At 55.2% G+C, this 26838-nt stretch overlaps 2 protein-coding genes across 4 annotated transcripts in view, besides 7 other annotated features; one reads left to right on the top strand and one right to left on the bottom strand.

Annotated features, from left to right (window-relative positions):
* Positions 1 to 26838, top strand: part of CDH23 (cadherin related 23) — a 419028-nt gene that overhangs the window by 314731 nt on the left and 77459 nt on the right. The window contains exons 28-34 of one of the 2 annotated variants that reach the window (NM_022124.6): positions 1015 to 1163; positions 12395 to 12455; positions 13722 to 13870; positions 18819 to 18954; positions 20337 to 20725; positions 22590 to 22691; positions 23006 to 23008. In NM_022124.6, coding sequence (NP_071407.4) covers positions 1015 to 1163; positions 12395 to 12455; positions 13722 to 13870; positions 18819 to 18954; positions 20337 to 20725; positions 22590 to 22691; positions 23006 to 23008 — 989 coding nt within the window. Of the gene's footprint in view, positions 1 to 1014; positions 1164 to 12394; positions 12456 to 13721; positions 13871 to 18818; positions 18955 to 20336; positions 21076 to 22589; positions 22692 to 23005; positions 23009 to 26838 lie in introns of those variants that run through there. The other variant, NM_001171930.2, reaches the window with a different exon arrangement.
* Positions 51 to 26200, bottom strand: C10orf105 (chromosome 10 open reading frame 105). 2 transcript variants are annotated; one of them, NM_001168390.2, is made up of 2 exons: positions 26078 to 26200; positions 51 to 4692 (listed from the first exon to the last, which is right to left on the bottom strand). In NM_001168390.2, the coding sequence occupies exon 2, from the start codon at positions 4685 to 4687 to the stop codon at positions 4286 to 4288; it is 402 nt and encodes a 133-aa protein (NP_001161862.1). In that variant the 5' UTR covers positions 4688 to 4692; positions 26078 to 26200; the 3' UTR covers positions 51 to 4285. The 2 variants fall into 2 exon arrangements, with proteins under 2 accessions (NP_001161862.1, NP_001157847.1); NM_001164375.3 differs by lacking the exon at positions 26078 to 26200 and adding an exon at positions 7977 to 8128.
* Positions 5403 to 5600: a silencer, noted in NCBI's record as "fragment chr10:73476810-73477007 (GRCh37/hg19 assembly coordinates)". NCBI's record gives its function as "represses an EF-1alpha promoter that drives an FKBP-Casp9 reporter gene in an ReSE screen in HepG2 liver carcinoma cells {active_cell/tissue: HepG2}" and the evidence as "EXISTENCE:reporter gene assay evidence [ECO:0000049][PMID:32094911]".
* Positions 7517 to 8265: an enhancer, noted in NCBI's record as "H3K4me1 hESC enhancer chr10:73478924-73479672 (GRCh37/hg19 assembly coordinates)". NCBI's record gives its function as "activates a minimal SCP1, AML or CMV promoter by ChIP-STARR-seq in naive H9 embryonic stem cells {active_cell/tissue: H9 hESC(naive)}" and the evidence as "EXISTENCE:reporter gene assay evidence [ECO:0000049][PMID:30033119]".
* Positions 13875 to 15074: an enhancer, noted in NCBI's record as "CDK7 strongly-dependent group 2 enhancer chr10:73485282-73486481 (GRCh37/hg19 assembly coordinates)". NCBI's record gives its function as "activates an origin of replication core promoter dependent on BRD2, BRD4, P300/CBP, MED14 and CDK7 cofactors, with strong dependence on CDK7, by STARR-seq in HCT116 cells {active_cell/tissue: HCT116}" and the evidence as "EXISTENCE:reporter gene assay evidence [ECO:0000049][PMID:35650434]".
* Positions 13875 to 15606: a biological region, named in NCBI's record as "CDK7 strongly-dependent group 2 enhancer GRCh37_chr10:73485282-73486481".
* Positions 14062 to 14833: an enhancer, noted in NCBI's record as "H3K4me1 hESC enhancer chr10:73485469-73486240 (GRCh37/hg19 assembly coordinates)". NCBI's record gives its function as "activates a minimal SCP1, AML or CMV promoter by ChIP-STARR-seq in naive and primed H9 embryonic stem cells {active_cell/tissue: H9 hESC(naive and primed)}" and the evidence as "EXISTENCE:reporter gene assay evidence [ECO:0000049][PMID:30033119]".
* Positions 14834 to 15606: an enhancer, noted in NCBI's record as "H3K4me1 hESC enhancer chr10:73486241-73487013 (GRCh37/hg19 assembly coordinates)". NCBI's record gives its function as "activates a minimal SCP1, AML or CMV promoter by ChIP-STARR-seq in naive H9 embryonic stem cells {active_cell/tissue: H9 hESC(naive)}" and the evidence as "EXISTENCE:reporter gene assay evidence [ECO:0000049][PMID:30033119]".
* Positions 17840 to 18031: a silencer, noted in NCBI's record as "fragment chr10:73489247-73489438 (GRCh37/hg19 assembly coordinates)". NCBI's record gives its function as "represses an EF-1alpha promoter that drives an FKBP-Casp9 reporter gene in an ReSE screen in K562 erythroleukemia cells {active_cell/tissue: K562}" and the evidence as "EXISTENCE:reporter gene assay evidence [ECO:0000049][PMID:32094911]".

A 26838-nucleotide genomic window follows, 5' to 3' on the forward strand; every position in this document is an offset into this window, starting at 1 on the left:
GGACGTTTGTTTGACCTATCCAATATTTTATAAAGAATGACCATTAGTTGTGAAAGTTTAAAGATCAGGAGATTTTATTTAAAAGCTCAGATGTTCAATTTCTCATGAGAAATCAGAAGATCTGGTGTCTCTGGGCCCACATTCTGCCTGTCCGCTGTGGACTGGAGTGGAGGACAGCTGCCCTTCCAGCGGGGCCCATCCAGGTGTTTGACCCAGGTGCTATACCCGCCAGTCCCTGACAGCAGTTGGCTTTTTGCTCTTAGTACCTGTATCTGCATCCTAAATTTGCCACGACAAACTACCACAAACTTAAAACAGCAGAAGTGTATTCTCTCCTGGTTCTCAAGGCCAGAAGTTAGAAATTAAGGTGTCGGCAGGGTCACGCTTCCTCCAAAGGCTCTAGAGAGAATCAGTCCTTGACCGTCCCAGTTTCTGGAGTCGCTAGGCATTCGGTGGCTTGTGGCAGCATAACTCCAGCCTCTGCCTCCATCTGCATGTGGCCTCCTCCTCTCTGTCTCAAATGTCCCTCTGCCTTTCTCTTGTAAGGACACTTGCCATTGGGTTTATGGGCCACCCAGCTCACCCAGGATGATCACTTCTCAAGATCCTTAACGTAATTACATTTTCAAAGGCCCTTTTCCCAAATAAATTAATCTTCACAGGTTCCCAGGGGTTTAACATGGGTCTGTTTTTTTTGGGAGCCATCATTCAATCCACTTGAGTGCCTCAGTTACCTCCTCTGTAAAATGGGGATGACAGTAAAGTGTCTGCTTCATGGGGTTGCTGTGAGGACTGAATGGGTTAGAAGAATGGCTGGCACATGGTGTTATCTAAGTATTTGATACTGTTAGTGTTATTCCTAAGCTAAAAAGGAAGTCACCCCTTGCAAAGGCTAGGGCAGATGGGGCGGAACAGGGCACCTCTCTGGCCGGTGCCCGGGAGTGTGCAAAGTCACAGGAAGTGTGCCCCTCTCTCAGGCAGCTGCTAACACCTGTCTTCCTTCAACTCCCACAGACAACGGCCCTGTAGGGAAGCGACACACGGGCACAGCCACCGTGTTCGTCACTGTCCTGGATGTGAATGACAACCGGCCCATCTTTCTGCAGAGCAGCTATGAGGCCAGCGTCCCTGAGGACATCCCTGAAGGCCACAGCATCTTGCAGGCAGGTGGCCCGTGGCCTCTGGGGCAGGTGGTGGGCTGGGGGAGGCGGAGCCACACACGGCCCTGAGGGCACATGCTCAGTGGCACCAGAGGCGGAAGCAGGTGGGGGCCCAGGGTGGGTCCGCTGCTCTGGAAGGTGCTGTGGGGAAAGGGGGACCCAGGCCCTCTCCCATCCCAGGGAGTGTGGGCCCCCAGGTTGCAGAGCTGAGGATAGGGCTCTGGCTCCCCACAAACAGGAGGAAGACTTGGCCTCCCCCTGCATATCTCCCGCCCCACCCAGAAGGGCCTTTCAGAGTAGCGGGGAGAAAGAGACGTCACAATTTCCCGGAAAGGAGTTGAGAAGAGAGCCAGGGCCCAGCAAGGCCCAGAACAGAGCTGCTTTCACAGAGCCCTTGGCCGAGGCTCCCCTCTTGGGAAGTAAACAGGCACAAGAAGAAAGGGCTCCTTTGCCCAGGGAGCAGGCGCAACAGCTCCAAGGCTCAGAGGGAGAGAAGGGAGGACCCTGAAAACAATTTGGGTGTGCACCCACACCTCTGCCCAGAGGCCTCAGTTGCTGGGTGGGGAGGGAGGCCCGGAGTGAATGAGTCTCTTTACCAACTATGGGGTTTCCGACTCGGAGGCTGAGCCAAACAGGGAATCTGGGCCTGCCCACTGGGGCAGGCTCCCGGGCTTGGGAGGGACAGAAGCGTGGGAGGCTGGCAATGCTCCCCTCCCTGCATCGGGACCAGGAGGCGGGCAGGAAAGGGCTGGGGAGCAGGGAGCTGACTCCCAGAAACACAGAGAGCCCAGAAAGCCCTGAGGATTTGCGAGAGTGTGGTGGCTAGCTCCAGAAGGAGGAAGTAGAGGGTTCTCTCGATCAGGGCCTCAGCTTGTGAGGACTTGGAGCATACCCCCCTGGCCTGGTGCCTGAAACCCAATTGAGAGCCCTCCCCCTCCTGGACTTTTCCTTCTTCAGGCCTCAGGGCAGCCTCAACCCCCACCCCAACCTCCAGGAAGACAGTGCCTAGTGGCCAGCAGGGCCTGCTGGTGAGGTGGATGGCTACAGGCTGAATCCAGCCTAGGATTTGCAGGGAGGCCCCAGGGGAAGCAAACCAGGAAGAGGTTACTGAGCAGGAAGGGAGGAAGGAACAAAACCCTTAGGGAGGAGGCCTGCCCCACTTTCTAAACCCAAAGACTTGGTTTCTATTTACACAATACTACTCTTACTGAAATCCTAGAGCCAGCGAGTTAATATAGGGCAGCCCTGAGTTCTCCCATTTCTCAGGGAGAAATGCAGCGTCTCAGGATGACTTCTCCAAGGTCCTCTTGGTAAGTTTCTTGTGAAGCCGGACTCACTTTTTGAGATCAGATTGACTTGGAAGGAAGGGACAGTGGGCTTCTCCAATAGAGCCTGCTTGGAGAGAAATCTTTCTAGAGTCATCTGAGGGAAGATGAGGCTCTGTGTTATGCCAGCTTCCACCAAGACTCCTGCCTCAGAGGGTGGGGACACACCCAGGCTGGGCCACGCTTCACTCTGTACACAGAAGCCTCATACTTCTGTGCACAGAACTGGGGAGTCAAAGTGAGGGGCTGGACAATGTCTGGCTCTCTGCAAGCTCCCAAGCTGGTAGGAAAGAGAAGACATAGACAAAAAGGACCCATGCTGCCAAGAGAATGTTCCTTTTCCTCCCCAAGAGAGGTAGGAGACAGTAGGGGCGGCTCCAGGCAGGAGGGCTTCACAGAGTGGGTGTGTGTGAAGCATAAGCCACAGTTAGTGGGTGACAGGTCTTTCAGTTTTCCTGGAGTTTTGGATCAAGATGAGGCTAGAAAGATTAATTGGAGCCAGCTCCCAGAGGGCACTGCACACTGCGCTGAGGAGCTTTGGCTATATCCATTTGGCATTAGGGAGCCAGTGAAGGTTTTGGAGCTGGGGAGTGGCAAGCCAGAGCTCACTCCTTGGGGAGACGTGGCTGGCTGCACTGTGGGTCACAGCAGGATGGGGGTGGGGCAGCTTTGTGGTGGGATCCTGGCCAGCTGACTGGGACAGGAGCTGGGCAGCCCAGGTCCTCCCTCTGCCCACCCTTCAAATTTGGGACCTGACCAAAGTGTTTAACCCTCGCGTTGTGAGGAGAGGTCAAGGGTTTGGGATTCTGAGAAGCCCATCCTGGGGTGGGACTGCTTTGACGGGTCATCAGCAAAGCACTCACCAAAACCACAGATAGCATCCCTAGTGTGGGCAGGACTTGGGACCCCACAGCTGTCCTGGAGAGGTCCAGACCATCCCACCCTCGGGGAGGCTGCCGCTTTCCCTGGGTGAGGTGTGGAGCTGCTGTGAGCTGTCCTCCTCCGAGTCCAGGTGGCATCACCTCCAGCTGCTGGAAATGCCCTGCCTCTTGCCACTCTGTCACAGCACCCGCCCTGGCCTCTGAAGGGAGCCTCCTCGATCATCTTCAATCCCTTCCTGATTGATCCCAACGTGGGTGCCCTGAAGAGGGGCCACCAAGACGGCTGCCAAGACCATGCTTGGAGAGCCCTGTTTGCTCCTCCTCCCAGCTGGCACCCAGGCATCTGTTCCACCAGGAGGGAGGCAGCTGCTCCCACAGGGCACCAGGCAGATGCTGGCAGCACCCGGGAAACCCAAGGAAGAGAGCCCCGAGGTTTTGCCCCAGCACTGGGCCAGCACAGATGCCAGGACAGTGTCTTGGCCCCGGTGTAGGCTGAGCATTTCACTTGACTAAAGGGAACCTTTGCCATTTGGCAACTTCTCCATGCTGGGCTTTGGCACCTGGAGGGCAAGGCTTCTGTGGCGAGCGAGGGTGCTGCTTCTAGGAGGTGGTTACGAGCCCCAGGTTGTACCCTGTGGAGCCTCAGGCCAAAGGCCCAGATGACCACGAGTGCACATCTCTTGACCAGAAGTCTTTCATCAAGCAGCAGCGAGGGGGTCTGCAGAGAGGAAGGTGCTCTTCTGAGGATCATCTTTGGGAAAGGGCGCTGGCCTGGGCATGCAAGGAGCTTCGGGGGGTGAGTGTGTGTCCCAGACTGCTTGGGCCACTGTCTTCCTGCAGCCTGCAGCACCGGTCTCTGAAGCAGGAGGATCTACAGGTAGACCTAGGGGGATGTGGGGGCATGTTTGTGGACACCCCATTACATCTTGGTAGATTCCATGTAGTCACAGTGGCTGCGGTTGTCCTCGGGGCCCGGCAGGGGCTGTCGAGGGACGGTGGGCCGGCCATGGCGGAAGCTGTGCAGGGAGAGGCGCAAGGAGCCCAGGCGCTTCCAGAGCCGGAGCTGGGGCTCACTGGGGCTCCCAGGGTGGTGGGGCATGCACTCGTGAGCCCTGCGGCGGCTCGGGTCCAGCGCGGCCGGCTTGCAGAGCGTCATGAACAGCAGACAGGTGGCCAGCAGGAGGAAGATGCAGGCCAGGGCGATGAGCATGGGGAGGGGGTCAGTTGCCTCTGCAAGGGTCCCGGGAGTGACGGGAGCTGAGAGAAAGGCGAGGGGGCTGATGGCTGGGGAGCTGGCGAGGCTGGGGCCCTCTGTGCTCATGGCTCCTGCAACAGCAACAAGACAGAAGCTCAAAGGCAGATCAGCTGGACCCAGGGCAGCGGGTATAGGGAAGACTTACCTAGGGAATGTGGATGGGGGCAAGGCACTGTTAAACTGGACAGCATCATGGCCACATCACAGGTTAAGACAGCAAGGTCCAGAGACATCACAAGTCTAAGTGTACACACAGCTGAGCAGTGATGGAGCTGGGCCCAAGCTCAGGCCCTCTTCCTGTTCCACCCTGTGCCCATCTGCCATGCAGACAAGAGGGCGGTGGCCTGTCCGCATTTTCAAATCAATCCTCATGAATCATCACAGGGTCTTAGGCCTGGAAACTTAAGACCAACTCTGTCAATAACTTGCTCTGTGGCCAGGAACGAGTTATGGATGGTAAGAGGCCGCAGCTGCCAGGGTCCCTAGCAGTAATCTAATACCAAAGCTGCAAACTGGGGGCCCACGGGTGTGTTTAGTTGGGTCCTTGCCATGTTTTTATCAATGTAATTATGAATATTTTCAAAATAATAACAGATTTCACAAAAATATATGGGTGCCTGAATTCTCTTGAAATGTCAGAATTTCACCACTGGCATTGGCCCATGTTCCTGCCTCATCCCTGTGTCTGGGGCTGAGCAGCCGCTGCCCCCTGTAGACAGGGCACTGACCTCCAGCTCCCCACCCTCCCCCACAGGCCCACCACACACCTTATTTCACCTGCCTGGCCCCGTGGGGATTCCTGTGACTGCTTCCCCATGCAGTCCAACTTGCTCCCACGACAGGTGGGAAACTGAGGTCCGAAGAGGGGATTTGGCATTAGGGAGCCAGTGAAGGTTTTAGAGGTGGGGAGTGACAAGCCAGAGCTCACTCCTTGGGAAGGCTTGGCTGGCTGCATTGTGGGTCACAGTAGGGTGGGGTGGGGCAGCTTGGTGGTGGGAAGGCCAAGGCCACATTGTGAGCCAATGGCCAAGTGAAGGTCAGAAGCAGGTCTCCTGACTCCTGGCCCCATGGCCTTGCCACCCCTCTGGCCCCCAGCCCTTTCGGAGCTCAGTGAGCTGCTCTGGGAACAGGTGGGAAATAAACCCACAAGGAGTTGACAAGGGGGCTGGAAACCCCCCAGGGACATCATACACCTGACAGGGCATTTCCTTTCCCACTGAAGATCATCCCATTAGACGCAGTGCAGCAGACGGTCCTTGTCGATGGAAAACCAGGCTGAGCTTTTGGCTCAATATGTCTGGGGTTGTAATAAAAATGCTCACAGATCCTGGCCAGCAGATAACACATGACCAGAGGGTACAGATGAGCAGGGCCACCTGGAGAGCACTGGCTGGGCCCTCTCAAGGAAGTGGAGGGGCCTCAGCCCAGAATGGTGCTGTCAGTGCCGGAGTGCAGGCCCAGTGTGGTCAGCTCTGTCAGTTTCCCAAGAGAAGCCAGAAATCTGGATTTTTTTAAAGGCAAACATTCTAGACGTTTAAATGTTGGCAGCTAATTCAAATTTGTTGAAGGCAAGAAAGAAGAGAGGTGGGGTGGGGGAGAACACAGCAAAAGCCAAATAAACTTGATTTCAAAATAATGTGAAATGAATTTTCAAATATTTGAAACACTACACAGGCCAAACCAAACACATAAGCAGAGGACGTCCAGCTTGCAGGTCAGCATGTGTGATATTTAAATTCTACTGACGTGGACAAGCAATCCCAGGGGGTCTGATAAAAAGTCATGATTTCCCTTTAACCTTGGGGTCTTTCCTTTTCATGAGGGTGGGGGATAGCAGATTTTCCTCCTTCCCAGCTTGCAGCTTAGATAACAGTTGAGTTTCTAGCACGGAAGCTCAGGAGGAGGAAAGATGTCAGGTCACGCTCAGAGAAACCCTGCCACAGGTAGTGGGGAGGGGAGTGGGCCACCTAGTTCCCCACCCGAGGGACTCCTGTCCCTACCCCAGGCACTCACCAGCAGCCGCAGGACCTCACTCCTGGCTCCCTGCGCCCAGCCAACTGAGGGCATGCAGAGCACCCCACCTCCCACCCATTCCCCACCACCACCCCTCCCAGCACTTCCAGGCAGAAAACGACCCCTCCCAGTGCCTGGCTGGAAAGTGTGATGCCCGTCTAGCTGCCCAGGGCCTCCGCCTTTGCGGCATCAGGCCTAGAGAGCACTCTGGCTGGGCAGCTGTGCATGGGTTGGCCTTTCCTTGAGTCTGAGCAGGGAGGAGGGATGGGGTGTGCCCACCGCTCATTCCCGTGGGGAGAAAATCAGCCATCCCTCTCTCCTACCCTGGACAATGCTTGGCCAGGAGTAAGAAAAGGGCAGTCTGAAATGGGAGATGCCTCAATCCTACTAGTTCTAATGTTATTTCAAGGCCTTCAAAGGAATCTGGAGACCCTACTGGGCTAGCAAATAGGATCCAGGCTTCAGGCCTTGGGACCTGCTTTAATTTAAAAAATAAGTGAGGCCAGGCGTGTTGGCTCTCACCTGTAATCCCAGCACTTTGGGAGGCCAAGGCAGGAGGATCACTTGAGCCCAGGAGTTTGAGAACAGCCTGGGCAACATAGTGAGTCTTCATTTCTGAAAGAAAAAAAAAAAAGGTTTTTTAATTAGCCAGGTGTGGTAGTATGTGCCTGTGGCCCCAGCTACTCAGGAGGCTGAGGCAGAAGGATCATTTGAGCCCAAAAGTTTGAGGCTACAGCGAGCTAGAATCATGCCACTGCGCTACAGCCTGAGCGACAGAGCAACACTCTGTCTCAAAAAAATAAAAAATAAAAAAAAAATAAGTGGAGTTGTAATTAGCATCTGAGTAGTTCCTGTGGCAACGAGAGATTCCTAAGTGCTTGAAAACAACACAACACCCTTCCTGGAGCACGAGGCAAGTCCAGCTGCCAGGCCCCTTGACACCCGGCTACTGACCAACCAGCAAAGGCCAGCTAGTACTGGGAGAGGATGCCTTGCCCGGACCAAGGCCAGGAATCATCTGGAGGGCAGTTGAAGCCACTCCCTTCCCACTGGGGCCAGGGTGCACCAGCGGGCCCTGCTCTGGACATATCTCTGCAAGCTCAGTCTAGGACCCTCCTCTTCCCTTGGAGTTCCACAGAGCAGGACCTGCTGTGGGCAGAGAAGACTGCTGTGTGGCCTCGGGCTAGTCCCTACCCCTTACTGGGCCTTGTTTCCCCTCTCTACAGAACCAGAGGACTGCCTAGGTCTGAGCATACCCTCACATTCTCCCAGGAGTCCCCAGCAAGGGTCTCCACCACACTTCCCTCTCCAAGCCTTCTCCTGCAGTCCCCCAAGCACTGACCTCAGAGCCAGACCCCAGCCGTCCGGAGCTCCGTGGAGAGGTCTTCTCAGCTGTGGAAGGGAGGCCCAAGGAGCCCTGGGCAGTGCCTGTGACCCCAGCCCTGCCAGGCTCTGCTGTGCCCTGCAGCCCTCGGTCAGCCTGGCCAGCAGAGTGGCCTCCCCGTCACTCCCCAGCTGGACCTGGCTTTGTCTAGAAGAGTTTGGGCCCTGCCTTGGGGGAGGGGATAGCTAAGGGAGTAGGGATGGCAACTGGGTTGGGAAGAGGGAGAGGGGAGCTGTCCAGAGACTCTGGGATGCCCCCTGGCCTTCCCACCGCCTCTCTCCAGCCTGTCTCCTTGGAGCCCTCTCAGGGGTGGAAGACTCTGGGGAGACGCAGGGGGAGGGTTTTACTGCCTCTGCGGCCCCATGGCGCTCACCTTCCCCTGTCGGAAGTTTGAATGGTATGGTCGGCGGCAGCCAGAGGTTCGCTATTCAGTGCCTGCCAGCCACCAGGTTACCCTGGAGAGGGGCTACAAGCCATGGCAGGAGGGGAGCAGGGAGAGTGCTGGTCCCTGGCAGCCCCTGAGGCCCCTCCTGCAGCGTCCCTGGGCCCCATTCCTTCCAGGCTTTTCCCTCAGCTTGTAGAAAAGCACCTTCCCTTTGAAGGTGTCTGGCTACAGAAGCGAGGGGTGAGGGGCATCTTCAAAGGTCAGGGGGATCCCAGGGCAGAAAGCATAGGACTGACGGACCTCCAAGGCCATGCTCCCCACAGTGCGGGTGGGCCACGGGAGACCTCCACTGGAGGCTCTTTCCAAAACACACACACACACACACACACACACACACTTCCCTCCCCCAGCCTTCTTTCTCCCCAGAAGCCAGAGCTTCCCTGACAACCAGCTGCCTGCTTAGGAGCCCAAGTCTTTGGCAGCTTCCCCACCAGGGACCTCCAAGCTCCCAGAAATGCAACTCAAGACAGGAGTCATGGCCCTGTCCAAGACCTGAGCCTCAGACCCATTCCCTTTTTTGGAGCCCCAGTTTCTGGTTTTTAGCTGTTCCCTCCTGCCCTTGCCCATAAAAAGAGGCACTGTCTGCCAACCCCAAGATGGACAAGAGATTTCCTATGGACTGTTAAAGCTGGAGAGGTCCTCAGGGGTCATCTAACTCCTCTTCTGAGAGAAAAGAGCCCCCGTCTTCTCTCAGATGACCAAACTGAGGCCCAGAGAGGTGTGACCTGCCCAGGGGCACCCAGCAAGTGAGTGGTGGGGGACTTGGTGTTTCCCCTGTGCTGGGTGGGCAGGGGCAGGCAGTAGGCATCCAGGGTAGGCAAAGCATCCGGCCCAAAGGTGTTTTCAATGCCCAGAGTCCCCATTGGGATTCCTGCACCTTCCATCACAGCATTCACTGCCTTCATTTTCCTTAACTTCCTCTCCTGAAACCAACTGAACACTTCATCTGTGGCCCCCATTCCTCCTGAGATGACAGAAGACAAAGCTTCCAGGGTGGTGCAGGCTGCTGGAGCAGGGAGGCATCAAGGAAATCTCACCATGGATAGGCATGCAAGGGCATGCTCTGGGCAACGTGGCTCTCTTCACCATCCTGAGCCCTTCCAGATCTGGACAATTGAAGCACCCTGTTACATCCCTCCACCTGCCAGCTCCTAAGGTTTCTCAGGGAATGGAGAGAGAAAGAACTGCACGGCAAGGGGCAATCCAGCCATCCCCAGCTCTGGCATAAATCCAGAGGGCTCTCTGGAGAAGGTGGCATCACTCATGTTGACCTTCACCACACATCCCCATGCTAGGCACCAGCCAAGACGCTTTGCAAGATGACTTCTGATCTTCCCCTCAACCCTGCAAGGCTGGTCATCATTGTGCCCAGTCTAGAGATGAGAAAACTGAGGCTCAAGGGGGCTAAAGTACTTATCCATAGTGCCATAGAGAGTAAGTGACAAAGCCTAAATTCATGCTTGGGTGTGCCTGACCCAGGGCCCTTGTTCTTTTTGCTCCAGTGTACTCGTCCTCCTCCCCACCATCAACATGCTCATCAGAATCCTTAGACACACTTACCGCAGTGCCCGGATGTGCATCGAGGCCAGCGCCTGCTACAGGCTCCTCGCTCTGCCTTCATACCACCATGTCTATACTCCCTGTCCTGTGGAGGTTCCAGGGCATCAGTGCTGCTGATTGAGGCTGTCATTCCACTCTTCCAACCACAGCCCTCTGCTGTCCCTGCATGAGCCCTTCACTCCAGACTGGGGTCCTAGTTCCTTCCTTAGCCTCCCCAGCTGCCTCTACTTCAGCTAACACTGTTTCCCAGCACAAATGTTCTTCCCAACCTTCTCTGCTAAGCCAGGTTTCCTCCATCCTTCCAAACCCAGCTCCCTCCTTTGGAAACCTTCAGCCAATCCCACCTTCACTGCTTTCTTGATCTTTGCTAGCAGGAACCCATCCCCATCTTCTCTGCAGTTTTGTCCAGTGAGCAACGATAGGAAAGCCTACATTAGGGCTTCGGGTGGCAAGAAAGAAAATCCATTCTATATTATCTTAGGCAGGGCCAGACATGGTGGCTCATGCCTGTAATCCCACCACTTTGGGAAGCCAAGGCGGGAGGATTGCTTGAGCTCAGGAGTTCGAGACCAGCCTGGGCAATATAGCAAGACCCTGTCTCTACAAAAAAAATAATAATAATCTAGGCAGAAGGAGAAGTGTACTGTAGCAATACTGGGATACCCTACAGGATCAAAGGAAAAATCAAACAGGGAGCGAGGCACAGATGGGCTCCTGGAATAACTGGGCCCAAGGATGCAAACCAGGGCTGAATGTTGTATGTGTCCTGCATTCGTGCTTACTGAGTGTCAGCCTAGTTCCTCTCCCTGGAGCTCTGCTCCTAAGTCGTTCACATATTTGACCCTACTGTGTGCCAGGATTGTTGTTCCAGAGACCAGGGATATCGCAGTGCACAAAGCCCTTTCTTCCTGTGGGGATATGGGCAATAAGCAAAGATAGCATGTATCAGAGGGTGACCAGGGGTAGGGAAGGCCAGGACATTGGAGTGGGGGCTATAATTTCATATGCAGTGCTCAGGGAGGGTCTTAGGAGAAGATATTTGAACAAAGACCTGAAGGAGATGAGGGCATGAACATGCAAATATCTGGAGGGAGAGCTTGCCAGGAAACAGCCAGGGCAGAAGCCATGAGGCCAGCACACGCTTGGTGTTCAAGAAACAGCCAGGAGACCAGTGTGCCAGGGCAGTTAAGAGGAGAGAGTGGTGGGAAGTGGGGCCCAGGGATGTGCAAGAGAGGGGCTGTTGATATTCCCACATTTTACTGCTAGAAAGACTGACTCAATCTCTCTGGGCCCAAGGTCAACAATCCCAGAGAAGAATGTGATTGGCTCAGCTTTGATCAGGCACCCAGTCCTGGACCAATCCCCTCTGACCGTCTTGGCAGGGTCAGGAAGAAAATGGCAGCTCCCATGCACACCACAGGGCTGAAGTGAGAGGTGGTGAGACAAGAAGGGGCAGACCCAAAAGAAGTGGGAGAGCCCAGGGCCTTACAAAGCAATTCACCACAGATCCAACAGGACAGCATGTCATAGGAGGGTCTAGCCTCTTCCTGCACTGCCCTGGGGGGTGTTTGTTCTCCACTTGTTTTGGGTGGGCAGTGGGTAAAGTAGGTATTCAGTTATTGGCTTGACAGGACTCATGTTGGGGTCAGCTATGGTTCTGCCAGTAGCCTCGAGGCTGCACTCCTTGTAAAAAGGGCTGAGCACTAGGCAGTGTCTCAGAGTGACAACAACGTCCCCCCCCACACACAAGCCCACCAGAGGAAACACATAAACACATAAGCCTGAGTCGCAGCCACGCCAGCCAGGCCGATCTGAAGCTAGACTGGGGTGATGGTGCGTGTGAATGAGCATGGAGCCATTGTGTGGGAGGAGGGCTCCTGGGCTTCCACGAAGTGACCGTTACAGTGTACAGTGCCGGCTGGGACCCAGTGTGGCCAGAATAACTTCAGGCCAAGGAAATGCGGGCAAGAAGTAGCCATGCAGTTCAGCCACCCTGGGAGAGGCTCCTGGGCTCTGAAAGGCTGCCGGGTAGGGAATGTGGAGGGATGGAACAGCCTGAGAAAGCCTGGACCCAGCGAGCTGCAGTGCCATCTTTCACCTTCTCCCCCAGCCTCCCTGCGAACCTGGAGGAGGATCGGGGCAGAGCTGGTCCTGGACAGGGCTGCAGGGGCCATCAGCGGTCGGACATCCTCTTGGGGATTAGAAAGACATACACGTCCCCTTGTCTCCCACACCCCCAGCCTCTGAGGGAGACCACAGGTTTTGGCAGGATGGGGTAGGATGCGTGAAGGGAAGGAAAGGAACTCTAAAAACCTCTTCTCTCCCTGCTGGGTGGCATTCAAGAAGTAACTCGTGTCTCATTCTTCCTCAGCTGAAAGCCACGGACGCAGATGAGGGCGAGTTTGGGCGTGTGTGGTACCGCATCCTCCATGGTAAGTGGGGCTGCCCTAGGATGGGGGGCGGTCCTCCTGCCCAGGGGAGGGCAGAGCTTCTCTAGGCTGCCAAAGGTCTGGGAGATGAGGCCAAGAGAACCCCCAGGGCCATATACATGGGGCGAGGCCAGAGGGAGGAAACAGGGACATTCTCCTTATTCACACCAGGTGGGTGAGGGGGAAGCTTTTTTGATTATTTGTTTTTGAGACGGAGTCTCCCTCTGTCGCCCAGGCTGGAGTGCAGTGGCGTGATCTCGGCCTACTGCAACCTCTGCCTCCTGGGTTCAAGCGATTCTCCTGCCTCAGCCTCCCGTCCCCAGTAGCTCAGTCCCCAGTAGCTGGGACTACAGGCGCATGCCTGTAATTTTTTGTGCTTTTAGTAGAGACAGGGTTTCACCGTGTTAGCCAGGATGGCCTTGATCTCCTGACCTTGTGATCCACCCATCTCAGCCTTCCAAAGTGCTAGGATTACAGGCGTGAGCCACCGTGCCCCTGGGTTGGCTTTTGATTGCCGTGTTCCTGAAGTCCTGCTGTCCTGCAGAGCTTCCCAAAGCCATGGCCCTGACAGAGAGGGCCCAGAGCCCAGGGCAGCCCCCAGCAGCACGCTCCCCAGGGACTGGGTCTCATTGGTCCAATCAGAATCCAGTGCCCATCCCTGAACCAATCGCTATGGCCAGAGAATAAAATGTGCTGATCCTCCCACTTCTCGAATCAGGGGTAAAGTCACTGCCCACAAATGTTATGGACTGACAGTAGAGGAGAGTAGATCCCCAAAGAAAAATCAGGGTGCTGTGCCCAAAAGATGGGGGAATGAGTGCTGGACCAGCCCTGAGATGTCCACTAAATCCTGGATTCAACCACCCATGGAGAATTTGGTTTCAGTCCCTCTTTTTGGAGTGCCCCAGGTTCTTCTGAAATATTAAAAAGGCCTCACACTACCCACATCTGTGGGTGTAGGAGCAGGGCGAGGGGGACCAGCAGGAGCCCCACCTGCTGGGGACCATCAACACCAAGATGAAGGCTTTCAGGAAAGAGCTGCAGGCCTTCCCGGAGCAGGTGAAACGCATTGGGGATGGCCTGTCTGCCTTGCCCCACCTCACAGAGTCCTCCAGCTTCCTCTCCACTGTGAATTCTGTGTCCCAGAAGACCCGCAGCCTCCTCACAAGGAGGGGACTGGTGAACTTCTGCCCCCAACCATGGCAGGCCAGCACAGCAGGAGACTTCTGGGCAGGGCCGGTGTTCCAGGGGGTCTGTCCCTCCACACAGGTAACCATGGCAACAACTTCCGGATCCATGTCAGCAATGGGCTCCTGATGCGAGGGCCCCGGCCCCTGGACCGGGAGCGGAACTCATCCCACGTGCTGATAGTGGAGGCCTACAACCACGACCTGGGCCCCATGCGGAGCTCCGTCAGGGTGAGGCTAGGGGCGGGCTGGGGTGCTGACCTCAGGACGGGGCCAAGCCCACAGCTAGAACAGAGAAGGCCATTAGTTGGCGCCTGGTGTGGGCAGGGCCACCACTGATTTAGGTGCTGAATGACATCTGGGCCTAAGGGTTCGGTGACAGGTGCCCAGCCTGGGACTTGGACTTGTCATTTTGCTGTGAGTTTGTTCCTCCAGCTGTGGAAAGGAGTCAGTGATACTGATGTCTGTCCTAAGGGATGAAAGAGGTGTCCTTACTGTACTAACCCCTGTATCCACAGAGCTCTCTAGGGTAAGTCAAGGAAATCTCACTTGGGTGATCTTGGAGGTACAGATGCTAACCTCATTTTACAGATGAGAAAACTGAGGCACAGAGAAGTTGCTAGTGATAGAATCAGGACTGGAGCCCCCATCTTCTGAATCCAAGTTCAGTGCCCTTTCCAATGAAAGTGACCCTAATATATTCCAGTCACCTCTCCCAGCTGCCTCATCAAATGTATTCTTTCCTGCCCAGCCTTATCTGTGCAGCCAAAATCAAATCAGCCTTAGTCCTCCCGAATGGCTGAAAACCTACACACAGATGTTCCCACTGGTTGTGTTATGTGTACTACCGCCAGCAGGGGGATGACTGAGATGAATGAGATGACCTCTCAAGGCCGCTTCACCCCCACCCCTACACACTCAGCAGCCCCCAGCCCCTTCCCCTAAACCAGTGAGTCAGACCCCAGACATCAGGAGTAGGAGGGAGATGGGAAGAGTCAGGCAGAGCAAGCAGGGACTTTCACCCAGAACTGAGTGCCCGGCTCCTCTTATCAGCCCCATCTCCACCCCCTGCTTCCCCCAGGCTGGAAACAATGAGCGGTGGTCACCGGGTACTCACGATCACAAACACGATGGGTCTGATTGCTCAGGGGCTGTGCTGGGGTGGGTGACTCAGCCCTGACCCAGCTCCTGCTGACACCTCCAACGCTTTGCCCCAAGAAGAGCTGGGAAGACACCTGGGTCCTTGCAACTGCCCTGAGTGAGACCTGCCCTGTGGAAATGGCTGAGAGGGTCAGATCCCCTGGTTCTTACAGGGCCCTGGTGATGGAGACTCAGACACAGTAACCTGGACATGCACATAGCCATGCTGGCTTGCATGACTGTGAATCTTATTCGTGGGCTGGTCAGTACGCCCTCATCAGAGCCTGCCTTGTGTGGGGCCTACTTCAGGGCACAGAGTGACTGATGTCAGCGAAGCTGGGGTTGGGTCTCCAGACTTCAGGCTTCCTAACCACAGCCCTCCATGTGGCCCTCGCTCCCCGCTCCCTCACCCAGGCGTGGTGGGCTCCTGCCTCCTCCCATCAGTGCCTCAGCATTGTGGCTGCAAACCTCCTTTAGCCACAAACCTTCTGTATACACAAAATGATATGCAGCATCCCAGGGTACAGTGTAAAACAGATCGAAGCCAGACTGTGACAATCAGTGCAGGGGTGGGGCTCCCAGAGCCACACCTGCTCAGCTACTTACGTCCTGCCCGTCTCCCCTGAACCCTGAGGAATAATAAACCCTCACACGTGCCCGATATTTTTCTAAATGCCTCGTGTACTTTAACCTCCGTAACCCTCATAATAGCCTTATGAAGTAGGCACTGTTAATACCCCCATCTTACAGATGACAAGACTGAGGCAAAGAGGAATTAGCCGACTTGTTCAGGGTCACACAGCGGTAAGGGTGGAGCCAGGCTTCATGCCTTGGCAGCCAGCTTGAGCCTGTCCCCTTAACCACTACACTCCACTGCCTCACATAAGCCTCTTCAAAGCCCAGTCAGAAACCACTGCCTCATCCCCACAGGGTAATTTTAAGGTGAGAATTTGAGGGCTGGCCCCTGGGGCAGGTGCTTGGTGGCACTGTAGTACACAGCCTCCACACCCATGAGACCCGGGAGAGCTGGGGGCCTTCCTGAAGGCAATGTGGGGACTCTGGCTTTCCGCTGGACTCATTTTCCCAGCAGCAGGGGAGAGACGGCTTGCAGGAACCATCCACATCCTCCAGTTCCTGCCTCAGAGACCGGGGACAGCCCCAGTGAGGGGCCGGGGAGTACAGAGTGAGACAGTCCCCTTAGAGACTGGGTGTCTCAGGGTGTTCACGACACATACACACACACACACGCACATATGCCCACGCACACCTCCTCTCCCTGTCCTCCTAACCACTAGCACCCCATTTTGCAGATGAGGAAACTGAGGCAAAGCACTGCACTGGCACAGCACTGGACAGGCACAGCACTGGACAGAAAGCAGGTCTGGTTCTCCAGGAAGCCCAGTTGCTCCCACTTGCTCAGCAAGAACCTGACAGACCTCTGCTTCCTGTACATCTGTGCCTCTCAGGTTTGCAAACCATCTTGCCTCCTCCTGTCTCTGCTGCTAAAAACAGGCTGAAACCGACCAGAGGCTGGTGGCATGTAGCCAGACTCATGGAGGACAGGCCACACCCCAGCTCCCTGCCACCTCTCTCATCTTGTCATTGTACTGTCAGCCTGGCCCTGTTTTTTCCCCACAACCCTTGGAGTCAAGGTCATTTGGACAAGCAGATTGAGGAAGGGTAAGGCGCACAGTTTTGCAAGAGGAGTGGTTAGTTTCTGTTTACCGAAAAAGAGTTCCTGAAATTCATCCATGCAAACTCCCCCCCGCACCCACCCTACCCAGGATCTTCCCCAGCCAAGTTCTGGGTGAAGCCAAATTTAGGTTCCAGCCTGTGAACAGCTGTGCTCTGGAGTGGACATGTTAGTTTGCATAGTGGGTTCTGGGTGTCTGGACATGAAAATTCTAATGACACAGCAGAGCTTTGGGAACCCTAGAAGCAGCGATGCAGAGAAACTTTTACACCCATATGCCTCTCTGCCCCCAGCCCTGCCACCCTCCCCACCCCAGAGTCCTCCACTGGTCAGGCTGCTGTTTTCGGCTTCTACCAGCCAGAAGCTCTGTCACTTCTCTCCAGCTGATTCCCAGCTAATCCCCAAAGAGAAAGCAGGGCTGATCCCAGAGGCAGTGACCAGATGCCAGACACACACGCCTCTGCTGCACATGCAGAGGCCCCTCCCTTAGTGCTGGTCACCACATGCAAAGTCTGTATGGGGCATCACAGCCCCTTCCCCATTTGCTTCCCTCTCTACTTTGCTGGCAAGTTCCTACCGGCCCCAGCTCTGTTTGGCTGGGAAGAGGGTGCCTCTCCTGTTCTGGGGCCAGCTCACCCCAGCATAGAGCAAAGAGCTAAAAGCTAAAAACTCCTGGGCTCCAGCAATCCTCCCGCCTCAGCCTCCCTAGTAGCTGGGATTACAGATGCATGTCACCACCCCCGGCTAATTTTTTTTAGAGACAGAGTCTCATTATGTTGCCCAGGCTGGTCTCAAACTCCTGGGCTCAAGCGATCCTCTTGCCTCCGCCTCCCTAGTAGCTGGGACTACAGGTGCGTGCTATCACCCCTGGCTAATTTTTTTTTGTAATTTTTGTAGAGACAGAGTCTCACTATGTTGCCCAGGCTGGTCTCGAATGCCTGGGCTCAAGAGATCCTCCCACTTCAACCTCCCAAATTTCTGCGATTACAGGCAAAAGCCACCATGCCTGGCCTCCATAAACACCTTTTAAACTGTATTACGTTCATGATGTACAGTGCACACATTCATAAAGAGAACTTAGTGCTGGTAAGCGGTGAGGAAAATGGTGCGTAATTGCACAATTCAGAAACAGCCACTGCCTTGGATGGGGGCCTCAGAAGCAAACCCTGAGACAAGGATTGGTGTGAAAGTAATGTGTAAGAAGCGCCCACAGGAAAAGGTGGAACAGGGTGCAACCAGCAAGGAAAAACAGACAGCAAAGTGTCATGGAGGGAGCTAGGCCTCCGTCCCCCAGGGAGCCCTAAAGCGTCCCCTCACTGCCCCAAACAGGGCCAGGGAAGCTGGAGTCTTTGCTCTCCACGCCCATCAATCATTGGCTCAGGGCTGCCCTAGGGGACGGAAGTTCCCAGGCATTTCTGCTCACTGGGCTGGTTTCCAACAGCCCGGGTGTGGGTGCAGTGGGGTGGGGTTGGTCTTCCCCAAAGAGCCTTAGGGGCTGGGAGCTGGCCGTGAGAAGGTGCACAAGTAAAGAGTACTGAGCACTGACATTCTCTACTACAACTGCCATTGTATTTTCACCTCTATTTTCCAAGATATATTTTAATATTTGATTGGGATCACTTTGAATTTTTTCAAGAACTTTTGCAGGCCCTGGCTCATTTTGTCTTCATAACAACCTTAGGAGTGGCATGGAGTGTGAACTATTTTATTATTATTAATTTTTTTTTTTTGAGATGGAGTCTCGCTCTGTTGCCCAGGCTGGAGTGCAGTGGCGCGATCTTGGTTCACTGCAACCTCTGCCTCCCGGGTTCACACCATTCTCCTCCCTCAGCCTCCTGAGTAGCTGGGACTACAGGCGCCCGCCACCACGCCCGGCTAATTTTTTGTATTTTTAGTAGAGATGGGGTTTCACCGTGTTAGCCAGGATGGTCTCGATCTTCTGACCTCGTGATCTGCCCACCTCGGCCTCCCAAAGTGCTGCTGGGATTACAGGCGTGAGCCACCGCGCCCGGCCGAATTATTATCTTAATATTACCACTTTATAGCTGGGAAACTGGGGGCCCCAAAGAGTCACTAATTAGTCAGATGTTCCACAGCATTAGTCAAAAAGCCAAGAGCAAGATGAAGTTCATTCCGAAACAAGTAATGTTTGAGCACCTGCCACGCGCCAGGTGCTGTGCAAGGTGGTGGTCACAGTGACCCACCAGACAGGCCTGGGGTCCTAGAGGGAGCTCACAGCAGGCCCAGGAAAGCAGTGACCACACAAGGCGGCCACAGTGGGCCAAGCCCTGGGCTTCCCAGCCTCCACCCCACCCTGACCTTGCACCCCTGGCCCGGCTCCCACAGGTGATTGTGTACGTGGAGGACATCAACGATGAGGCCCCCGTGTTCACACAGCAGCAGTACAGCCGTCTGGGGCTTCGAGAGACCGCAGGCATTGGAACGTCAGTCATCGTGGTCCAAGCCACAGACCGAGACTCTGGTGAGGCTGGCAGGAGGAAGCCGGGGATCCCATTGCTCAGAGCAAACCTCCCCAGCTCACCCAGCCCCTCCTTCGAAACGGTCATCCCTGATGCTTCAGGCTCCCCATTTAGCCATGTCTAGGCCAGGGAGGGGCTGCTGGGATGGTCTTGATCACTTCCCACCAGTGGCCCCAGCCTGAGAGGGTTGGAATCAGGGAGAGTTGTCCCAACCACTGGGTGGACAGAGGGGAGGCCACAAGCTTGAGAAGTCCAGCTCCGTCATCCCAGGACCCAGCAGCTCCCACTAGCCTTTAGAGAGGGGCTGGGCAGAGCTGGGAGGGGTAAAGAGGACCGGTCAGAAAGCTGGCTGCGGCCTGGCCTGCTCCTCCAGCCCCTCCACGCCTTCCAGGACCAGCTCAGGGCCTAGCACACGCAGACCCCCTGACCCTGTACAAGGGGCAGTACCCTTCCTGTGCCGCAGGGCAGTAGCCTGAAGGCAGCCTGAACCTTGCTGAGGGCCCAAGCCCCAGAGGCGGCCACAGCCCGCAGTGCAAAATGAAGGGGAAGCATGCCGGGTCTCTGTGGCCCTCCGTGCGGCCTGGGCTGTCTGGCCTGTACCCCAGTCAGGGATACAGCTGAAAAGGAGCATTTTCTGGAGACCCACTGTCCCCCAGAGAGGCTCCCTGAGCTGCTCATCCTTCATGTCAGCTACTCTGGTGGCTCCCAACTCCTCTCTCAGCATCCTCAGATTATCTGTGGCATGCATGGGATGGGGTGGAGGGAGGAATGGCTGCAAATTCTCAGGCGGAATCTCAGGCATGTTAGGAGAGTTTAGGGCACATACGCGGCTGTGGCCCCTTGAGGTCTGTGAACTTCAGCTTAGGAATCCCAGCTCTAGCTCCTGATTGAATGGTTTGTTTCAAGGCACAGGAATTTGGGGCGTAGGGAGTGGGGAGGATGGGGGAAGGTGTCCCTGACACTGAAGCCCTTCTGTCGAAGGGACCAAACCAAGGCTTGGCCATCTGTGAGGATGCGTTCTAGATCAAAGCCTCCACTACAAGAGATCCTTCATTTCCCCCAATGCTTGTATGTCCAGATATCAAAGGGAGGTACATGAGCTTGAATTTTGAGGCTCCAGGAGCAGACCCAACTCTTTCTGTCCTATCTCTGGTGCCAAGGCCAAGCCCCAGAGGAAGGCTCAACAGTGCATGCTGGACCTTGCCATCCACATTGACCTTAACACATCCTCTGCTGCATCTCTGAGGATGATCCTGCCGGCAGAGGTGGGGCAGCCCATGCTGGGTGGGCCACCCAGGGGGTATGGGTGTGGCAGCTTGAGAAGCCACAGCGCAGCCCCACTCAGTTCTATCTGGGACTGCACAGCCTCTGTGTCCTCCTACAGGGGATGGTGGCCTGGTGAACTACCGCATCCTGTCGGGCGCAGAGGGGAAGTTTGAGATTGACGAGAGCACAGGGCTTATCATCACCGTGAATTACCTGGACTACGAGACCAAGACCAGCTACATGATGAATGTGTCGGCCACTGACCAGGCCCCGCCCTTCAACCAGGGCTTCTGCAGCGTCTACATCACTCTGCTCAACGAGCTGGACGAGGCCGTGCAGTTCTCCAATGCCTCATACGAGGCTGCCATCCTGGAGAATCTGGCACTGGGTACTGAGATTGTGCGGGTCCAGGCCTACTCCATCGACAACCTCAACCAAATCACGTACCGCTTCAACGCCTACACCAGCACCCAGGCCAAAGCCCTCTTCAAGATAGACGCCATCACGGTGAGGGGCTGGGGGCAGGGAGCACCATTTCTTCCAATCTAACCAACATTGGTTGAGCTCCTTCTGTGTGCACAGCACTCTCCTCTTTGTCATAAAATGTCCTTGAGATGGCCAAGTGTGGTGTTAGGTACCTGTAGTCCCAGCTGCTTGAGAGGCTGGGGCAGGAAGATTGCTTCAGCTCAGGAGTTTGGAGGCTGCAGTGAGCTGCGTTTGCACCACTGCACTCCAGCCCGGGCAACAGAGTGAGACCTTGTCTCTTACAAAGAAACAAAAAAAAGTCCCCGAGATCAATATCCCTGTAACACATCCATTTTCATATGTAGGAGTAAGATAAAGTTTATACCTATGCAGGCTGGTATCCTTCTGTTTTTCCTTCTGTTTTCACACCCATCACAGATCCTTCACCTCTGGTCATCGAAGTGTGTGTGGGGTTTTCCCCCATTATCGGCAACCAATTATCTGACTCTCTTGACACCAGCTGGGAATCCTATAGTTTGATTTAATTCTGAACATTTCTACCTGGAGTTAGCGTCAGATCCCACAGGCTCACAGCTCAGTCCCTCCCACACACCACGCAATTCTCCAGTAGACACCATAGTGTCAGATCCCACAGGTTGAGGGCTCAGTCTCACAAAACTGCCTCCACTTCAGCTGCCAATCACAACCTCTAGGTTGTTTGACCCATGCTTCTGACCAACTGGCTAAATCAGAGTTCCCACAACCCCCTCCACAAGTTCGATGAATTTGCTAGAGCAGCTTGCAGAACTCAGGGAAACACTTTACTTACTATTACCAAAGTATTATGAAGGATAGTCTAAAGGATACCAACAAACAGCTGAATGAAGAGACACACAGAGCAAGGCATGGGAGAAGGGGCCCAGAGCTTCGGTGCCCTCCTCGGACATGCCACCCTCCAGGCACCCCTACATGTTCAGCAGACTGCAAGCTCTCTGTAGTTCAGGGATGTCTATGGAGGCTTCATCACATAGGTACGATCAATTATTAACTGAATCTCCAGCCTCTGTCCTCTTCCTGGAAAGTAAAGGGTGTAGAGGCAGGGCTGAACATTTCAAGCTGTTTATCCTGGCTTGGTCTTTCTGGTGATCAGCCCCAACCGAGGACCCCACCAAGAGTTGCCTCATTAGAACAAAAGACTCCTATCACCTAGGAAATGCCAGGGGATTAAGAGCTTTGTGCCAGGAACCAGGGACAGAGACCAAATGCATATTTCTTATATCACAATGTCACAGAAAGCTCTGCAAGTCATATTTCCCTTTTCACCTTGGCTGTTAGGAAGCTCAGACATAAATGCTGGGCTTCATTGCAATAGTTATTCTTAGCTAGTTGTCTGGTACACCAGTCTCTTATCTACTGCCAGGCTCTTACTCCTTCGTCTTTGCTTTAGTGTATCTTTTATCAGAATTCCTTCTTTGAAAGTAGGCAAGGTGTGAATCACTACAACGTGACAGGCCTTGTCCTAGAGGATACTGGGAACACAAATGGACACAAAGATGAACAAGACCCTTCTCAGTCCTCAAAGAGTTCTCAGGCTAGAAGTGGAAATGGAACTAATCCAGGATGCAAATCAGAGCGCCACAAGAAGATGTGCAGAGAACTACAACAGAGGGGTAGTGGAGCCCCTCAGGGCCCAGCAGTCATACCTGGCTGGGGAAGCAGGAAGGCTTCATGGAAGAGGTGGCTTCCCAGTGGAATGTGAGAGAGAAGAAGGAATTCAACAGACAGAGTGTCCTGGGGAAGTTATGCCGGACAGAGGAAGTGACATGGAGGTGGAAAAGTGGGCAGAATGACCAGGGTTAACAAGGGTGCGATGTTGTCACTCACCCATCTGGCCCCTTCCCTGCAGGGTGTGATCACAGTCCAGGGCCTGGTGGACCGTGAGAAGGGCGACTTCTATACCTTGACAGTGGTGGCAGATGACGGCGGCCCCAAGGTGGACTCCACCGTGGTGAGTGGGACCAGGGTGAGAGTCCCTCAGGTGCGGCCCATCGCTGGCCATGACACTTCCTAACCCATGTCCTCGCCAGCCACCCAATGTATGGGCCAGGCAGCGGGCGAGGGTCTTGATAGCCTGAGGCTTCGCCATGTCCAGCCATGCCACACCTTCCCAGCAGGTTGGGCTAGGATGAGACCTCAGGCAGGTGGAGGGTGGCACCTCCAGAGACACTGCCGGGAGTGGGGTCTGGAAGAGCCACAGACGGCTAACCATTTGCATCTTTGCCTTTTCTCTCACTCCCCTCCTGCTGCTGCCTCTGCCTACAGAAGGTGAGTAGCCTGTGGCTGGAGCTTCCCCTGTGCTGTTGGCTGTGGCCAGTGCTGGCCGGGCTCTGCCTGGCCCTGGACCTTCCCACCTCTCCCAGAGAGAAGGCACGTGGACAGGCCTGCAGCAGGCCCCCTCCCAGTGCCTCCACTCTCACACCTGAGTTCAGGCCCCTCTGGGGCATGTCCCCTGCCTCCAACTCTGTCCTCTGTGTCTTGCCTAGCCCCGGTAGGGTCTTGGGTGGGGAGAGTACTAGCAAAGGAGTCACTGGAAGACCACTGAGGGCTCATCCCAGCTCCACTCCTCGATGGCTGTGTGACACAGGCAAGCTGCTTAACGTCTCTGTGCTTCCCTTCCTCGGGTCTAAAACGAGGGTCATGCCAGCATCCCTGCCATCCTCAGAGGATGAGATGGAAGCAGCAAGAGATTGCAGGCAGAAAGCCCTTTGTAAGCCAGTCCTGGAAGCAGATGTGACTGCAGTGGGGCTCTGTCCTGATGCCTCAGCTGCTGCATCCATAAAGGGGACCCCCTCCCTCTCCTGGGGGTTGGTGCAAGTGTGTGGGGTGGGATGCACATTGTGGGGCCTGGGAGCGCTTAGGAAGGGGACCATGGGCACAGGTTGTTTCTCCCTCAGGACAGCCTCTAAGTAAAGGCAGAGAAGACCATGTGCTGGGCCCCTGGGGGAGGGGGGCCCACTGAGGTCAGAAGAGCCAGACAACGTTCCTAGAAGAGGCGGCCCGGCCTGAAGGGAGAGGCAGGCAGGGGAGCTCATGCTGGGGTTGCAATGGGAGTGGGTCCAGGGCCAGCTACCTGAGAGAGGTCCATGGGATGGCATCCTGTGGTGATCCCAGGACACTCAGCCATCAATCTGGCCTGGACACTGGCCAGTCACATCAGCTACCATCTAGAGACCACCTGGGGCATCAGGCTCCTCATCAGCCTTGGTTACAGCCACATTGCCACGCCCTGCTGAGTCCCTGTCACATTAACCTAAAAAAGCTAGAAGCCAACTCAGTGTCCAAGCCAAGAGCCAAACACAATTTCTTGGGGTTCTTGGCCCCAAGGCTCCCTGGAGGTGCCCAGTTCTAGCGGCACTGGTTGTGGCTGGGCCATACCTAAAGGCCCCCTCCATCCGTGGGGCCAGCCTGGGGGTGAGTGAGGCTGTGATGGGCAAGAAGTCTCCACAGCTCCCCTCAGCTATGCTCCCCAAGGGCAGCCGGTGAGCAGAGCGCTCGGGCAGTGGGTGCCGAGCCACCTGCGTCCTGCCACTCCCAGCCAAGGGGCAGACACTCAGGGGTAAAGTGGGACCCTCTTACTGAGCCTCACCCTCTTCATTCATACAATGGGCCCACCTGGCCCTCACACAGCAGGTGTTGCGAGAAGGCTGGGAGGAGAGGCCAGTGGGAGCCCAAGGGTGGCAGGGATGGAAAGGAGGTCCCCCTGCGTGGACTGCCAGCCACTTCCTCAGCACGGCTGTTGAGGGCTTCGGAGCACACACTTCTGCCTGTGCCCCTGTATTTCCACAGTGCTTTGCCCTCTTCCGGTTAGCAGGGCCCACCCCCTTTTGTTCTGCCCTGGCTTCCTCTGAGAGGCTCCCAGGGGCCGCTGCCCCAGATCCACCAGCCCCGGTAGCCCCAAACACTGTTTGAGGTGCTAGGGTGGAGGCAGAGGAAGGGGCCCTTTAAAGGTGGAAACATTTCCTCTGCTAGGCCGGAACCCAAACCACAGCTCACCTCCACCTGGCTCCTCCCTGTCCCCAGCAGCCCTGGCCGGCCCCAGAAGGAGTGGTCAGGCAGACCAGAAGGGGCAGGCTGGGTAGGGCATGGCTCTGCTATAAGAGCTCTTGAGTAAGTTCAGGCCTTCAGGGGGTAGGGGAGGGCAATGTGGATTGTGAGGCCCTGGGTGAAGACACAGACACCCATCTCATTCCCATAGGCCTGGGAACCTGTCCTCCTTCCTCACCCACTGAGGCCAACCCCCTTCCACTGGGAAGTCCAGCAGCCCCCCTCACCCCTGCCTTGCAGCCTCACCAAGATCAGAGCAGTAGTCATTGTGGGAACACCTGCTGTGTCCCAGGCACTAGGCTGGGTTCAGGTTACAGCAAGAAACCAAAATTAGACATATCCCTTGCCTTCCTAAGTGTACGATACAGTGAGGGAAAGACATTGATCAAATGATCACAGCAGTAAATGTATGCCCTGAGAGAAAGCCTATAATAAGGTGTCAGGGAACTAGAAGAGGGCTTCCCTGAGGAAGGGACTCAAGCTGAGAGCGTCAGAATGCATGAGAGTTAACCCAGCCTAAAAAGGAAGAGCATTTCGGGCAGAGGGAACGGCAAGCACAAAAGCCCTGTGGTGTGAGGAAACACGGTGAGTCTAAATGAGGCCTTAGCTAGAGTGAGGGGGTTTGGGAGGGATCCGATCACAAGGACCCTTGTCTGTTTTCACCCTGAGAACAGTGTGATAGGTATTGTTTTTCCCATTTCAAATGGGCGGACTGGGGCTCAGGGACCTCAGGGAACTCCATAGCAAAACTCATGACAGATGGGTAGAGTCTTGGCAAGAGAAATCATGAATGTCTGCCAGGCAGGAAGCAGGAACAGGGAAGAGTAGGTGCCACCCCTTCACTTTCTGTTTGCTCAGTTATTCCTCCCAACAGGTGTCATTCTGATTTTCAGCTGAGGAAATGGAAAATCAGAGAGCTTGAATAACTTTTTCCAAAATCGTGCAGCTCATAAGTGGTTGGGTTGGCCTAGCTGCGAAGCCCAGGCTCACTCTCCTATACTTCTGAGAGCTGCCTACAGATAGGGGAGTGTGGCTGGGACTGAGCAGTCAAACCTGTATAGAAGGAAGAATGACATGGAATTTCCTCTGCAGCATGCACAGGCTTAGCCGGCTCCCCATGAGTCCTGTGCAGAGTCAGCAGGACCTGGGAGCCCCTGAACCCCACATGCAGGGAAGCAGAGAATGGGGTCTGGCCTGGGGCAGGGCAGTGGGAGAAGGCCTGTCCTGGGATACCTAAAACCTGAGCTCCTCCAACCCCCCTCACACCCTCATCAGTGAACCCCTGGGTACCTGTGATTCCAGCCGCAGTGGCCTGTGGCCGTCCGTGGACTGGAGGCCTCACCCGCGGCAGGCCTTCACTCTCCTGCCTCTCCACAAGAAGCCCGAGCCACAGACACAAAACAATATGCTCTTGCGTGCCATTTGTTGCATGCCCGGTTTTTATTTGACAGTCAGAAATTCACATGCCTTCCCCATCTGCCCTTCTACCCACTGGAACCAAGCCACCTTGCAGCCCCCTCCTGCTCCTGGGCCCATTTCCTTCCCTCTAAGCCCAAGGTTGCAAACAAAGACACCTTCGGGCAATATCTGGCCACCAGATGTGTTTTGGACAGCCCACACATAATATTCTTCTCTAAATTTTATTACTCATCAGCCAATTTCACTTTAAAATCTAGATTCCTTATTTTTCATGAAAAACAGGAAGCTTTGCTCATGCTAGACCAGCATTCCTAGCCTCCATCCACTTTAGCCATGGCCTGGCTTTTCAGTTCTCCTGTCCCCACCACCTCTGACAGTCTCCCCACCAGGCCTCTTCCCTTGCCCTCCTAGCCAAGATTTAAGTGTGTCTACCTGCCACCCCACACCAATCAGACTGCTAGGAGCCATGGGCCCAGGGCCTCCTTTGTAAAGTCAGGATAGGCTTCGGTGGGCTCTGAGGGTTTGCTGATGTTCCAGAACCCACTGGGGATCTGGTCCCTACTGGACCCACGGTGGGACCCAGGTGTTTGGGGCCAAGGAGGGGAAGGAGGCTGTAGGTCTCTGACCACGTT

The sequence above is a fragment of the Homo sapiens genome, chromosome 10 (assembly GCF_000001405.40).
Source record: "Homo sapiens chromosome 10, GRCh38.p14 Primary Assembly".
Lineage (NCBI taxonomy): Eukaryota > Metazoa > Chordata > Mammalia > Primates > Hominidae > Homo > Homo sapiens.